Here is a 15,935-nt window from a genome sequence, read left to right on the forward strand (position 1 = left end):
CGCAAAAGACTAAAAATAGAATTATCATAGGATCCAGAGATTCCACTTCTGGATATATATCCAAAGGAAATGAAATCAGTACATTGAAGAGGTAGCTGTACTCCCATGCTCAGTGCAGCACTATTCACAGTAGCCACAATATGGAATCAACCTAAGTGTGTGTCCACTGAAGAATGAATGGATAAAGAAAATGTGATATATCTCTCTCTCAAAAAGACAAATACTACATGATCTCACTTATAGGTGGAATCTACAAATACCGAACTCATAGAAACAGAGAGTAGAATGATAGTTGCCAGGGGATCTAGGAAGGAGAGAGAATGGGAAGATGTTGGTCAAAGGTTACAGTTTCACTTGGACAGCATGAGTAACTTTTGGAAATCTACTGTACACCATGGTGAGTACAGATCATAACGAGGTATACTTGAAAATTGCGAAGATAGTAGATCTTAAATGTCATCAGAAAAAAATGATAACTATGTGAGGTGATGGATATATTGATTAACTTGATTTTAGTAATCATTTCACAGTGTATACATATATCAAAACATCATGTTATACACTGTAAATAGATATACTTTTTATTTGTCAATCATACCTCAGTAAAGCTAGGGGGGACAAAATCTTGCCATTGGTAGACACAAGCATAGTCCCGTCCCCAGTGCAAGGAAGTAAAAAGAGCACTTACAAGACCTTGAGAGGAAGGGGTCAACAGAAGATGACAGTCATGCCTTCCTCTGTAGAGTTCCTGACCAGCTACTGGATGTGTACAGGATGAACTCTTGTTCATCACATTGAAAATACTAGCTCTGGATGGTGAATCTTCAAAGAAAGCTTTCTTACAAACATTTTTTTCTGTGCTCATTGTAAAAAGTCTTGAAAAATATTAAAAGGGAAAAAATAAGGAAGGAACACACATAATCTCTGCACCAGGAGATACTCAACTATATTTTACTATTGTACATGATCTCACTTATGCGTGGAATCTACAAACATCAAACTCACAGAAACAATAGAATGAGAGTTGCTGGGGTTTTTTTCTTTTGTATCTATCTATAGAAGCATACTGCATATTCAGTTTTTTTTTTCCTTTTTATATATGGAAGCATAGTGTATATTCAGTTTTGCATCTTGCTTTTTTCCCTTAACTGCATTGTGAGCATATTCTTATGCTGTGTAATAGCTTCATTAATTGTCTATTATATAGATGAGTTACTTGACCATTTCTCTGCTGTTAAATATTAAGGTGCTTCCAATACATTGCTGTGACACATAACAGTGAAACAATAATCTCCCTGTACACAAATAGCCAATCACATTTCTATTTCCTGAGATTAGAATTCTTGGGTGAAAAGGCCTAAGTTTGGGGTGTGTGCATGTGTGTGTGCATATGTATGAGTGTATAAAGGTATGACAGATTTTCACTGAAGTAAATGTGATGGTCCATTTCACTCCATACAAGGTTTTATACTAAATTGTATCTCATTATTTAGGTACAGTTTTAAAAAGTGACTACTGAGGTAGAAGAATTTTTATTCATATTTGTTTGCCATTTGTAATTTCTCTTCTGTGAATTGCTTAATTAAATCCTTTGTTCATGTAGCTTGTGGAGTCTTTGTATTTTTTTTTATTATCTTCTTGCAGGAAGTCTTTATATGCTTAGGCTATTACCGACGGGTAGACGATTTTTGGATAATTATTATAAAATGCTAATTCGGCCAGGCACGGTGGCTCACGCCTGTAATCCCATCACTTTGGGAGGCCAAGGCAGGCAGATCACGAGGTCAGGAGATCGAGACCATCCTGGCTAACACAGTGAAACCCCATCTCTACTAAAAATACAAAAAAATTAGCTGGGCGTGGTGGCAGGTGCCTGTATTCTCAGCTAGTTGAGAGGCTGAGGCAGGAGAATGGCGTGAATCCAGGAGGCAGAGCTTGCAGTGAGCGGAGATCGCGCTACTGCACTCTAGCCTGGGAGACAGAGCGAGACTCTGTCTGTCTCGAAAAAAAAAAAAAGCAAATTCAAGACCAAATTTGTTGGTAGGCTACTACTCCCATTAAAAATATATATATATATTACTGTATTTGTCTTCATATATTTATTCCCACCAAAAAAAGCAGTATTCATTCACTCAGTTATTCTATACCAGGCACTGGGTCAAGCATTTGAGATATGATAATGAACGGGACACAGCCTGTGCCCTCTGTGAGCTTAGCTGGATATACACAGCCCATTTCAACATGCTTTGCCTGCGTTGAGCACAGAGCCATATGGAAGCATGAGGCAGGACCACCTAGGCCAATTTTGGCCATCAGGGGAGCTGTACCCAAACAGGAGACATCTAAGCAGTGGTGCTGGGAGGCAGCTGCTGAGGATTTTACGATTTTGTTAAAAAAAAAAAAAAAAAAAGCAGCATTCTCAAGGCTTCTATAAAGCTCTTTCTTTGAAATTTATAACTCATAGGCTTTTTTTTATTTTATTTTTCTGTTAGATTTACACAATGCTGGGCATGGATAATTTAGGGAGACCTGAAACTCAGAGCTCAAATCTATCGCCTTCCAGATGCTGAGAAGAGAAACATCTGATGTCAGCTTCCTCTCTGTTCCTAACATCTTCAGTTCCCCAAACAGACTTTGTTAACAGTTATCATACAGCTATGATTTTAATGCCGTGAGATATTATATTAAAATGTAATTTTATGCTTTAACTTTGCTCTGCCCAGTTTAAGAGTACCAAGTATGTATCAGGCACTCTGTACTGTGTTGGATGTTAGATGTTTCTCCCATAAATTTGGATATGACCCCTTCCTTTGAGATACTTTTAGTTTAGTCTACCAGTAACCCAGTCACAATGGCAACTTTATAAGCAGCAATTAAACCAACTAATTTCTTTCTGAAAACTCAAGAATCTTGCTTTGTGGTAATGTATCTGTCAAAAACATTTGATTGAGTAGAAATAGACCATGACTGTGGAAAAATGCAGTGAAAAACGTATGTACAAATAAATATGTTCTCATGATTCATTAATATGATCATATAAATGTAGACCCTAATCATATTATCTTTGAAACTTTTGTGGTAAAAGGGTTGCTAAGTCAACTTAACAGTAAAATCAGTTGCAGAGTGATCATTGGTAAACTTAAGAAAAACTTCCAATAATGGCATTCCTTTGTGAAGTAACTATTTTTATGACAATTGTTCATATCAAATTGACTAAAATAGATTTGGATCCATACTGGAAATACCCTTCATTTAGAAAATGTCTAAAATGATAAATGTGTAATAGCTCTGAAATAATCTACATTTCAAATTTTTCATTTTTTAAAATAAATAATCTCTTTTAATTCCCAAATAGCGAATTCTTCCACACTGCCCTGTTTTATTAAACAATAGTGGTCAAAAATTATTATGCATAATTAAATAATTCCAAAAAAACTTGCTCTAAAAAATGTACTGCTCACCAACTGTATTACAGATTTAAGAATGATGAGCATGTTAAGGTTTCTTGGAGTTGCTCTCATTTTGTGGAACGGTAATGTAGTATTCTTTGTATTACAAAAAAATAAATAAAAAATCTCTTGAGAGGAGGGTAGCTGGTGATAAATGCTCTGAGTTTTCTTCCCTGGTGGTTGTGGTGTGGTAGCAGGATAGAGCTACTTGTTCTAATGTAGCACTCCTTTGATTATTTAGCCAAAACCTTTGTGTTAAGCACCAACTTTGTGAAACTTACCGGACCAGGATTAGGGATGGAGGAGAAGCACAAGCCACAGGGCATACAGTCAAGTTACAACACAATCATGGAGATGAGACTTATGCAGAGGGGACAATAGGGAGCATGGCAAAACTGTATGTTGTGTATGAAAGAGACTAAGTATTGTTGGAGTTTGGGGAACCATTAGTGCAGACTGGTATGGTTGATGGCAGTGTTATGAAGGAGCAAGAACTTGACTGGGTGTTGTAGCAGGAAGGCTGGGGAACAGTCGGAGCAGACATAGGGCTGGGTTGTTTTTCCTGATGCATGTGGGTGCAGAGATGACACTGGCCAAATCAAGTACCAAATCTGTATTAGGAAACACTGGGAGAGTGGAGTGATCAGAAGAAAAGGGTGAGTTGTATAACCATGGCCTTTAAAGCCTAGAGGAGAATGTGTACCTCCCACAGTACACGTGAACGACTGACCAGGAGAGAGGCAGGCAGACTAGTTAGGAGGCTGCTGCCAAGTCAGATGATGAGGCCTGGGCAGTGATGTCCTGTGTGAAAAAGAGCATGGGCATTAGCAGAAGCAGCTGGGATGAGCCTACATCCTGACTGGGCTCAGAGTCTCATCCTGTGTGAAGCTAATTGGATCCCATGGGCATTAAATCCCTGACCAGGGCCTCATTAGTACAAGTTCTCCTCACCAGAGCTAACCAGTGTGGGTGCTGATCTTAATAGGTTGCTATTTTTGCTGCTGGAGACTGAAAGAAGTATTTAGTCTCTATGTTACCACACATAGAAATAGGGAAAACTTTACAATGCCTTTTCTACCTTTTCTTTTGGTAAAACATGAGTAGTTTGAGAAAATGTCATGCTGTTCACATTTTTCTCTCCTTCATTATGTATTAAATGATCTGGCCTTGGGGCTGTGGGGTCTGAGATGAATGCTCTTAAGAGGATCAATTTCAGAAGAATCCCATGAAATAATAGATATCCCTTGTTCACATCTTAACTGAGCCTATTCAGATCCGAATGTGTAAAAACCTGAAAACATCCAAATGGATTTCTTTAAATGCTAACTTTTAGTTCAGACATTTGCCATCCTGCAGATAATGCTGCTAGGTCTATAAAACTCACAGTAAAGTGAAAATGTGGCAATTATTCCATTCATTTGAATCATAAAAAGTCAAAACAGAAAATTGGGATTACAAAGTAATTTTGTGGCCCAAATACTTGGGCCAAGTCTTTAATTAACTGGCCAACTGCCAAATTTCACTTTACTTTGTTCTTTGATGACACAGCCAATGAGAAGAAATGAGTCATAAGAAAATAGGTTTGGGATGGGACAGAGAATTATTTTTTGAAATTAATCATTTAGTCATTGGGTTTGACTGGGTATTTCTGACTTAATTTGAATCTTATTCAGAATGTAATTGTTTGATCAAATTTTAATTTGCTTTAGAAAGAATACATACATCAATGTTAAGTATGAAAGTACCTGATTTTTAAAAACAGTATTTTAAAATGGTCCAATCAAATTTTGATTTGAACTTAACTGATCACCTTCACAGCATGAGGCATTTAGGAGTTTACATAGCAGGTGAGAATTGCCTATTGATATTGCAGTCTGAGCAATTCCCAGCTACATATGCATGAGAAGGAAGGACAAGGAACAGTTGCATGGGGTCAGGATGACTGTGCTATCTCCCAGACTTTAGCCATCTAGGAAGGGAACTATAAAAAGCATGTGATGACACTAGTTCTAGCTCCAGAAGGGAAGTGTTTGCAATATAAATGGGTCTCATGAGACAACAACTTCGAAAAGGTAGTAAATATCGCAACATAAGGGTAAATAACAATAGGATCAAGAGGAGCTGTTAACAGACTCACTGAAGCACATGGTGAGAAAGGTGGGGACAAAATGGTGCTGTGTCAGTCAAGAAATCAAGGGCTCTTTTGCCTTGGGAAAAAATGAGGCAGCAAAGCAAGCTGCACCCATGCTAAACAAATTAGCACAGAATGGTGCTTAAGAATGTAGACTTTGGTGCAAGGTTATCAGAGCTCAAATCTTGGCTCTACCACTTACTACTTTTGTCACCTTGGACACATGTTAATTTCAATTTCTCCTTCTGTAAAATGGTGGTGATTACAGTCAACACCTCACAGAGTTGTTACACTGCTTAAATTAGTAAATACATATATATGAGACATATGTGTATGTGTGCTCCAGAGATGTTCATTAAATACAGAAATAAATAATAAATTGCCCTGAATCAGGCAAAAGGCAAGGAACTGCAGGCATTGCCCAATAACACTTTTTTGACCAACTGATGCCTGCATAGCTGTACCTGCTCAATAATGTATATAGTTAAAAATATGTTCTCTGGCCGGGCGCGGTGGCTCACACCTGTAATCCCAGCACTTTGGGAGGCCGAGACAGGTGGATCACGAGGTCAGGAGATCGAGATCATCCTGGCTAACAGGGTGAAACCCCGTCTCTACTAAAAATACAAAAAATTAGCTGGGCTTGGTGGTGGGCCCCTGTAGTCCCAGCTACTTGGGAGGCTGATGCAGGAGAATCGCCTGAACCTGGGAGGTGGAGGTTGCAGTGAGCCACGATCGCGCCACTGCACTCCAGCCTGGGTGACAGAGCAAGACTCCGTCTCAAAAAAAAATTAGGATAAGAGGAAGTCAAATTGTCCCTGTTTGCAGATGACATGATTGTATATCTAGAAAGCCCCATCGTCTCAGCCCCAAATCTCCTTAAGCTGATAAGCAACTTCAGCAAAGTCTCAGGATACAAAATCAATGTGCAAAAATCACAAACATTCTTATACACCAATAACAGACAGAGAGACAAATCATGAGTGAACTCCCATTCACAATTGCTTCAAAGAGAATAAAATACCTAGGAATCCAACTTACAAGGGACGTGAAGGACCTCTTCAAGGAGAACTACAAACCACTGCTCAACGAAATAAAAGAGGATACAAAGAAATGGAAGAGCATTTCATGCTCATGGATAGGAAGAATCAATATCGTGAAAATGGCCATACTGCCCAAGGTAATTTATAGATTCAATGCCATCCCCATCAAGCTACCAATGACTTTCTTCACAGAATTGGAAAAAACTACTTTAAAGTTCATATGGAACCAAAAAAGAGCTCACATTGCCAAGTCAATCCTAAGCCAAAAGAACAAAGCTGGAGGCATCATGCTACCTGACTTCAAACTATACTACAAGGCTACAGTAACCAAAACAGCATGGTACTGGTACCAAAACAGAGATATAGACCAATGGAACAGAACAGAGCCCTCAGAAATGATGCCACATATCTATAACTATCTGATCTTTGATAAACCTGACAAAAACAAGCAATGGGGAAAGGATTCCCTATTTAATAAATGGTGCTGGGAAAACTGGCTAGCCATATGTAGAAAGCTGAAACTGGATCCCTTCCTTACACCTTATACAAAAATTAATTCAAGATGGATTAAAGACTTAAATGTTAGACCTAAAACCATAAAAACCCTAGAATAAAACCTAGGCAATACCATTCAGGACATAGGCATGGACAAGGACTTCATGTCTAAAACACCCAAAGCAATGGCAACAAAAGCCAAAATTGACAAATGGGATCTAATTAAACTAAAGAGCTTCTGCACAGCAAAAGAAACTACCATCAGAGTGAACAGCCAACCAGAGTGAACAGAATGGGAGAAAATTTTTGCAATCTACTTATCTGACAAAGGGCTAATATCCAGAATCTACAAAGAACTCAAACAAATTTATAAGAAAAAAACAACCCCATCAACAAGTGGGCAAAGGATATGAACAGACACTTCTCAAAAGAAGATATTTATGCAGCCAAAAGACACATGAAAAAATGCATCATCATCACTGGCCATCAGAGAAATGCAAATCAAAACCACAATGAGATACCATCTCACACCAGTGAATGGCGATCATTAAAAAGTCAGGAAACAACACGTCCTGGAGAGGATGTGGAGAAATAGGAACACTTTTACACTGTTGGTGGGACTGTAAACTAGTTCAACCATTGTGGAAGACAGTGTGGCGATTCCTCAGGGATCTAGAACTAGAAATACCATTTGACCCAGCCATCCCATTACTGGGTATATACCCAAAGGATTATAAATCATGCTGCTATAAAGCAGCACACATGCACACGTATGTTTATTGAGGCACTATTCACAATGACAAAGACTTGGAACCAACCCAAATGTCCAACAATGATAGACTGGATTAAGAAAATGTGGCACATATACACCATGGAATACTATGCAGCCATAAAAAATGATAAGTTCATGTCCTTTGTAGGGACATGTATGAAGCTGGAAACCATCATTCTCAGCAAACTATCGCAAGGACAAAAAAAAACAAACACTGCATGTTCTCACTCATAGGTGGGAATTGAACAATGAGAACACATGGACACAGTAAGGGGAACATCACATACCGGGGCCTGTTGTGGGGTTGGGGGGAGGGAGGAGGGATAGCATTAGGAGATATAGCTAATGTAAATGATGAGTTAATGGGTGCAGCACACCAACATGGCACATGTATACATATGTAACAAACCTGCACGTTGTGCACATGTACCCTAAAACTTAAAGTATATAAAAAAAGTGTTCTCCATAGGGCTCTTTTGGATTTGGTATGGTGCATACAGACAGTGGAAGAGTGACATAATAGGGAGTTATTTGGGGGAGAAGGAAGGATATTCAAAATAGTAAAAGCTTTACTTTTGTCCTCAAGTTACAGGTATACCGTTGCATACTGATCATTTTAATTCAAGAGTCTTCTCTTCAGGGTACTAAATAGTTTACTGATTTAAACATATGTGTCCCAAATGATCAAAAAACATCAAACATTCTGCAGTTACTAGAAAACATCTTGCACTTAGTAACTGGAGTTCATTACTACTAAGTGCAGGAAGCAAAAACTGACCGTTTTTGCTTAACCGTTAGGCTCTGCCTTGTTTTTCTTTTTTCTTTCTTTTTTTTTTTTTTTGAGATGGAGTCTTGCTCTGTTGCCCAGGCTGGAGTGCAGGGGTGTGATCTCGGCTCACTGCAAGCTCCGCTTCCCGGATTCGCGCCATTCTCCTGCCTCAGCCTCCCAAGTAGCTGGGACTACAGGCGCCTGCCACCATGCTCGACTAATTTTTGTATTTTTAGTAGAGACGGGGTTTCACCGTGTTAGCCAGGATGGTCTCGATCTCCTGACCTCGTGATCCACCTGTCTCGGCCTCCCAAAGTGCTGGGATTACAGGTGTGAGCCACCGCGCCCGGCCTCTTTTTTTAAAAAATTGATTTAGCACAACAGTGGTTTATTTCTCACTCACATCATAATATACAGAGGTAGAACTGGTCTCCTTGATGGTTCTCTAAGTGGTGACTTGGGGGTCCAGGTTCCTTCTGGGTTGAGACACTGTTGTCTTAAAATTGTGGTCCCTAAGTTTGCCACAGAAGAAGAGAGAGGTTCTGCCTCTTTTAGTTAATTCAAAGCAAAATAAGAAAGTGAGGCAAGAAATATAATTTTGCCCCTACTAGTACCCGTAGTCCCAGAGAGCAGCAGGTATATTACGACCCCTGCGCCCTGGAGTCAGGCGGTTTTGGTTTGAGTCACTGGGTCCCAGGGCCACATGCAGCTTCAGTATATATTTGCTGAACTTAGCAAATGAATTAAAAACTGATAGTAACAAAACATCCTGAATCTGTCCCTTATTAGCTGTGTACTTTTTACTGCATCCATTTTAACTTTGCTAATTTTCTAGTCACCCTTGGGAATCACTTCAAAGAAAAGACTAGGAGGAAAAACAGAATATTGACCAAGTACAGGAAAGCTTGGAAGCACTGTAAAGGACAGGTTATTTAAAAGCAACACCTTTTAAAGTGGCTTTATGGATGGATGGTTGTCTGATAAATGGCACAAAAAGAACTATACGGACTTCATTAGGACCAACAGAGAGTAGGAGAGGTCTGTGTCACAGTAATGGCCCCTGGCAAATCACATCTCCCAGTGTCCATGCCCCTGTGTAGTTCCTTCCCATACTGACTCAGGGCTTAGCCAAGTGACTTGTGATGGCTAATGGGTTATCAGCAAAGATGATGCAAGCAAAGGCTTCAAAAGTACTAGTGCATTGGAGCTTTCTCTCTTGAGATGCTCTTCTGAGATCACCAAAGGGTAAAGAAGCCCAGAATGGAAGACCACGTGGAGCAAGAGGTACAGCAGAACCATCTGCTCAGTGCAACTGCACGAGTGAGCCCAGGCGAGAGCAGCTGAACTCCTTAGCCAACCCACAGCATCATGAGAAATATTAAACTGTTATTCTTTTAGGTCACTAAACTTATGGTGATTATATTGTGCAGCAAAGGTGAACTAAAGCTGTGGCTCTCACTGTAAATAAAACAAATCTTGAAGCTTTTAAAAATGCAATCCAATCTAGAACCGCAAATCTGATTTACACCTTAAATGCTGGCCACATGGAGATACATGATAGCATAAAAAGGGGTGTTCTGTAGGACTGTCCTACATGCAGAGAAGAGGCTTCTTCACCCCCCACCCCCAATCTCTGTCTTTCATTATAGGAAGGAACTATGACCTCTTAACTCACTTCCTCCCTTCCTCTCTAAATAGAAAAATGTTAGCTGTCTCTCACAAAGTCAGCATTCTTTGGATAAAGTATAATATCCAAGTGGTTCCAAGAGAAAAGGCTCATTATTTTGTAAACCACTGACCATCAAATACCAATTATCTTAGGCCTTAATGTCACTAAAATAGCACTTCAGAGGGAATGGAAATGGCTTTTTATTTGACTATATGATGGTAATTCTCTTTTTGGTTGACAGAAGGAAAAATACTTAAAGTTGAAATAATACTTGATCTAAAGAAACTAAAATTCTAAGCAACCGATCCAATGAACAGAGCCCCCGGGGGCAGGGTTCAAAGGAAGCAGGAGCACTGATAATTGGGGATTTATCACTGCTTGAAGAGGGGCACTGATAAAGTTCAGGCTGGCGATCCAGCACTAACGTTCCCTTGGCTGCCTGGTCACAGTGGCTCTAGTCTTCCTCAGTGCTGCTTAGCTGCTTAGCAATACCAGCTCAGTGTGAATCAGACAAGTCACTGGAAAAAAAATGGCTCATTCAGAGCCTCTTGCAATTGGTAATTCCACACAGAATGGGCTAGCATCTTTGCCCTAAAGGAATTCATGTTCTTAGTATAGTTTCATGTTATTGCTGGGCTGACCCCTTCCCTAAGGCTTTTCATGTGAAGAGGAAAATTAAAACTTTATGATTTAAAGCATTCCATATTTTAAAGATATGTGCATGTAATCATAAGCTTCATTTCCAGTCATTCTCTCTTACTAGCAAAGGAGGGTCCTTTTATTATGAACACAATGAAGAAGAAAACAGCCTGCCCAATCACATCCTTTTTATAGCCTTAGCAGAGGCCATTTGCTATTTCAGTTGATCCTAAAAAGTGATGTATTCATCATGAAAAATCTGAGGGAAGCTTGATGAACTATAACAGCAAACAGCATCTGTTACCACAAAAAATTTGCTCAGACACTAAAGATACTGTTTACTTTCCAGCTTCTTGAGACCTCTACACCAACCAGTGGAAGTGGATGCAACTTTCTGACTGTAGGAATGTACATTATTGATAGGAAATTCTGGAAGGAGGACACAGAGCAAGAGTGGAAGCATAACTGTATTTCAGTGACCTTTGTAATGCCAAAGAGGCAACTTCCTCGTAAGAGCTAGTTCTTCTATAACTGCCAAGCTAGAGAAGCTCTGAAGATGGTCACTATTTCCATGGTAATTGCTTTGTAATGTCTCAATGGTTCCCAGGGCATGTTTCTTGACCTGATGCTAAAAATCACCTCGAAATGGGCCATAACAGGTCATTTTGTTCTGCTGACTCTAAACTGATCTCTGAAGTAATGCTTTAGGGCATTGCAACCAGATCCATATTTGCAAATTTTACTCTCAGATTTTAAAAACTGTCCGCTAAGGTACATCTGATTGGTTTCTGGGTTGCCCCATTAATTAATTTATTCATGAGCCCCCCACTGAATACTGATTTCTCTGAAAAGCTACTGAAGAAATAAAAGGCATGTGTTCTGGACCATCAACGTTTATAGTGCACATGGAAAGTCAACCTGCCTCTGAAGAGAAAAAAGAACACAGGCATTTCTAGGAAAGCAATAATGACAATGGTGGGTAGGAGTTTCTTCTTTTACCATAACCACCTTCCTTTCTTACCTTGCTCTGATGGGTTGAGATCCTAGTCTGGGTCCCAGAGCACTACCATTCCCAGGAGAATTCTTTCTGGCTAATGCTGGGGATATAGAAGTTGTTCTTTGAGGCACCTGGAAGAAACCAGAATTCAGAAATATTTTCCATAAAGTAGCTTCCATAGCCTGTTGTCAGAAAATCCTCCTTTCCAATGATTTGCCAGAAGCCACAGAAACTATCCGAAACAGTAAAGAACTATCTTTCATTCATTCCTCGAAGAAATATTAAACTCCCTAAACAAAATCAAACAAAGGTCTACTGGCAAAAAACAATGAGCAAATTTGGGAACCATTAAAGAGGGTCATCCTCAATCTTAAAAACAAATTTAAAGATAGGTAAAGCTAATAATTTTGATACACTGAGCTAAAAATAATTGACCTCTCTTGGTTGGGCAAAAGTGGTAAATACCAGGAATTTCTTTAGGGTATCATTAACTCATTGGAAGTTGCATCAGCTGAGAGCCACCCAGATGAAGCAAGTTCCACTTTTAGCTTACATCACAATAAACAGATAAGGAAATCATGAAATCTGGTGAGAAACTAGAATATCAGGATAGAGCTTAAGACATAAGTCATATGTTGGTGAGCTCAGAGAACCTACCACAGTAGATCTTGAATGTTTCTACTTTCTAATTGATTTGCAATTACCTACTAAAACCAAAAACCAAAAGCACTGTGTCTTGGTCAATTAGTGAACATAATAGAACATAATACAAAGCAGAATTAATACTGAAAATACTGGAAGGATCTTCAAAAAGGCTGTGTAAGTACCAATAAGACTTGAGGAAAATGTATTATTAGCTTATCTGGCAGAAACCTAAGGTAGAATTGAAGTATGTCCCAATTTATAAAACAGACATTTTAAAATGAAATTAAATATTTTAAGTGTACCAAAGGAGTCCGTTATTTAAAAGAATCATATTATGAATCCTAGTATAGAAAATTACTTTCAGTGTAAAGTGTCATCCTTTGTTTTGAAAATTTAATTTTTATTATTCATTTTAACATAAAGATGAGTCAGTAAAGTAAAGCAGAATGACCAAATCAATGCTACTACCTGTTCAAATTAATTATTACTATTTTTTCTTTTCCTTACCATAAATGTACATAGTTGTAGAGACAGAAGAGCCTAACGAATTCTTAAAACCTAAGTTTTTGAATTCATCTAAAATTTTCTCCCAGGTTCATGCATGTATGCCTGCGTATTTTTAGAGAGTGGACCAATAAATTCAGTTTTCAGCTTTTCCATCTATTGTGTCTGCTCCTTTGCCCACTTTATTTTTCATATTGACTTTTGCTCCCTATGTACCCTTTTTTTTCTGATGGCATTTCTGCTTCCACAAAGAATCTCAAAAAATTATCAGCTTTTTTTATTTTCAAAATAATGGGACTCTTGTTATAATATCCTTTTAAGAGGAAGATGAGGAAATGTATTTGTAATTGAGTAAAAGCTTCTTTTTCTTCTGGAATTAACAGTGGCATTTTCTGCAAATTGTGGAACATTCCATTTGTCACAGCCTCTATGCTAATCTCAGGAAAAGGGGGATTCCTGAGCCAGGAAGAATCCGATGCAAAAAATGTCTCTAGTATTTTGAAATACTTCCAGGTTGTTTGTAGCTAGATGCACACAGCCACATTCTAGAACATTTCTTGGAATGAGTAATGACTTGGTATAGGAAAACAAAAGAACCCAAACTCAGGGCTGTTCTGTCCAGTGGAATGGCTGGTCATTTTACCCTAAGGTTTTTCCTCAGTAGTTAATTAAAGATGGAAATAAATTATGACTTGGCCTAGAAAGAGCTTTCCTTAAAATGGGGCCAACTAAAATATCCTAAGAACAATACTATCTTCTGAACCCCTGAAATCTGGCTTCACTTTTGTGTTGTTAAAAATAGGAATACATGGATTTTCTACTTTTTATCTGGAAGTTTTCAATTGTCTTGATGTAGATTCAGTCATCAATGAAATATCCATTACTTTATTTGTTAATATGGATAGCAAAATGACAGTTTGGAATACTTGGTGTTGAGAGTTCTAACTTTGGACGTAGGATCTGTGCTTCAATCTACCTGACTTCAGTTTTCTTGCGGGGGAAATAAAGGTCAGACATGGTAAATGGCAATCCAAGTCTTAGCCAGGGAATGAAGAGGGACCAAAACAAACATGAGAAGGGGAAGTGCTTTGGCATGATCACATTCTCCACTACTACGAAAGGTCTGGAATAGTGGTAATAAAAATCATCAGTGATGCTGGTGATTAAAAAAAACACCCCAGTAAATATTACCTTTGGTGGAATGTCTTCTTCCTGTCGTAACCAAGAGCTTCGGTCAAACTTTTCAATGCGAGTGGGGAGAGGAGGATTTTCCGAGGTGGGATCTGAGTTCTGGCGTGGCATCTCCACGCGGTGGGAGGTCACGTTCAGAGCCTCCTGAAACCCAGAGAGGCCCTTTGTGGGCTGCTCGTGCACTGACTGGGAGGCGGTCAAGGCAGGTCCCTGGGATTTTACAGCTACCAGATGTGGGATCTAAGCATCAAAACAACATGAAAACAGCACTATTAGAAGAAAAAAGAGATCAGCCAGTACCTCAGTGAGCTGAAGGAAAAAAAAAAAAAAGTTCAAGGGCACAAAAATTGGACTATAGAGAGTCTATCACAACTATATATAGCATGTTTTTTAACAGCTCTTCAAAATTTTCCATTGGAACGATATGTAGGGTTGGCACAAAGTTAAATGATTTACTTGGGAACGCTAAGTCAGTGGAATGTGTGAAATAATAACAATAACTACTGTATATTTAGTGAATATTTATTGACCAGCAATGCAATGTATTTTATAAGCACTTCTCTGCTAATATTATGAAATTCCTCCTTTAAAACCCCTAACTTTTACATTAGAGGGTGTTGCTCTGTAAAACAAAAACTGCTCTAAATATCTTACTTGTTATGAACTCACTGAGTCCATCCTGAGGTGGATACAGTCATTTCCCTCATTTTACACCGGAGCAATGTAAGGTGTAGAGAGGTTTAGCAATACCCTAGATTGCACAGATAACACCTGCTGGAGCATGGACTGGACCAGGCATTCTACACCCATAGCTCATAAACCTAACCTCTATGATATTCTACTTTCTCCTGTGCTGGCTCTTACCATCTATGCTGTCGTATTATCTCTTGACACCAGGATGTAACTTTTTGAGTTAAGTATCTCAACTAGGCCAACTGGGCATGTGGTGATACTGTTCACGCAGGGAAGACAGGCAGTCTTTCAGCGAAGTTGTGGCTCTTAAAGACAAATCATTAAAATCCAGAGTGCAGGGCACCACTTTGCCATAGCACTGCTCACACCTCATAGTTAGTGCTTATCTAAGCGTGTCTCCTATTACTTCACGAAGGTGAGCTCCCTAGAGAGAGGCACTATGTCTGTCATGCTCATCGTCATATCCCCTAGGCTAGCTCTGTGCCTGGCATGGGGAAGGTGTCCCATAAATCCTGGTTGGGGAAAAAATCTACAGTGCCTTCTAAATTACACTGTTAATTCAACAAACATTAGTTTAATATCTGTTTTGTGCAAGGACCTGTCAAATCCTCTTTGGTTTTAAATTTAAGTGCTGGAATGTTATTAATGACAGTTCAGAGGAAATCTTCAAAGCCCAGTTTAGCTGAATGTTAAGCTTCAACCAGAATAGAACCTACTGGATTTATATTAATGTTAAATATCATTAAATAAATAATAATATTAAAACAAAGCCCATTTAAAAAAATATCTAGTATAAAACACAAACCCACTTTAAAAGAGCCAAAAAATAAAAAAATAAAAAAAACCACACCACACAACCCCCAAACTGAAGCACCTGAAGAAAGCTTAAGTGAATTAACTGTCACAAAATATCTACATTTTCACTCTGGTTGTTCTCA

At 38.8% G+C, this 15,935-nt stretch overlaps 1 protein-coding gene and 1 long non-coding RNA gene across 12 annotated transcripts in view, besides 1 other annotated feature; one reads left to right on the forward strand and one right to left on the reverse strand.

The window, feature by feature from the left end:
* TNIK (TRAF2 and NCK interacting kinase) overlaps window positions 1-15,935 on the reverse strand; it is a 401,995-nt gene that overhangs the window by 53,194 nt on the left and 332,866 nt on the right. For all 8 annotated transcript variants that reach the window (NM_001161566.3, NM_001161565.3, NM_001161562.3 and 5 more), the window contains 2 exons: window positions 14,305-14,544; window positions 11,989-12,095 (listed from right to left, as the gene is read on the reverse strand). In NM_001161566.3, the coding sequence (NP_001155038.1) occupies window positions 11,989-12,095; window positions 14,305-14,544 (347 nt within the window). The remainder of the gene's footprint in view (window positions 1-11,988; window positions 12,096-14,304; window positions 14,545-15,935) is intronic.
* LOC105374216 (uncharacterized) overlaps window positions 1-15,935 on the forward strand; it is a 59,021-nt gene that overhangs the window by 9,466 nt on the left and 33,620 nt on the right. For 3 of the 4 annotated variants that reach the window (XR_007096160.1, XR_007096162.1, XR_007096167.1), the window contains one exon: window positions 2,493-3,604. The exons of the other annotated variant lie outside the window; for it this stretch is intronic. This is a non-coding gene — a long non-coding RNA (uncharacterized LOC105374216). Of the gene's footprint in view, window positions 1-2,492; window positions 3,605-15,935 lie in introns of those variants that run through there. 4 annotated transcript variants of the gene reach the window in all.
* Window positions 5,076-5,744: an enhancer, noted in NCBI's record as "OCT4-NANOG hESC enhancer chr3:170834472-170835140 (GRCh37/hg19 assembly coordinates)". NCBI's record gives its function as "activates a minimal SCP1, AML or CMV promoter by ChIP-STARR-seq in primed H9 embryonic stem cells {active_cell/tissue: H9 hESC(primed)}" and the evidence as "EXISTENCE:reporter gene assay evidence [ECO:0000049][PMID:30033119]".

The sequence above is a fragment of the Homo sapiens genome, chromosome 3 (assembly GCF_000001405.40).
Source record: "Homo sapiens chromosome 3, GRCh38.p14 Primary Assembly".
Taxonomy (NCBI): domain Eukaryota; kingdom Metazoa; phylum Chordata; class Mammalia; order Primates; family Hominidae; genus Homo; species Homo sapiens.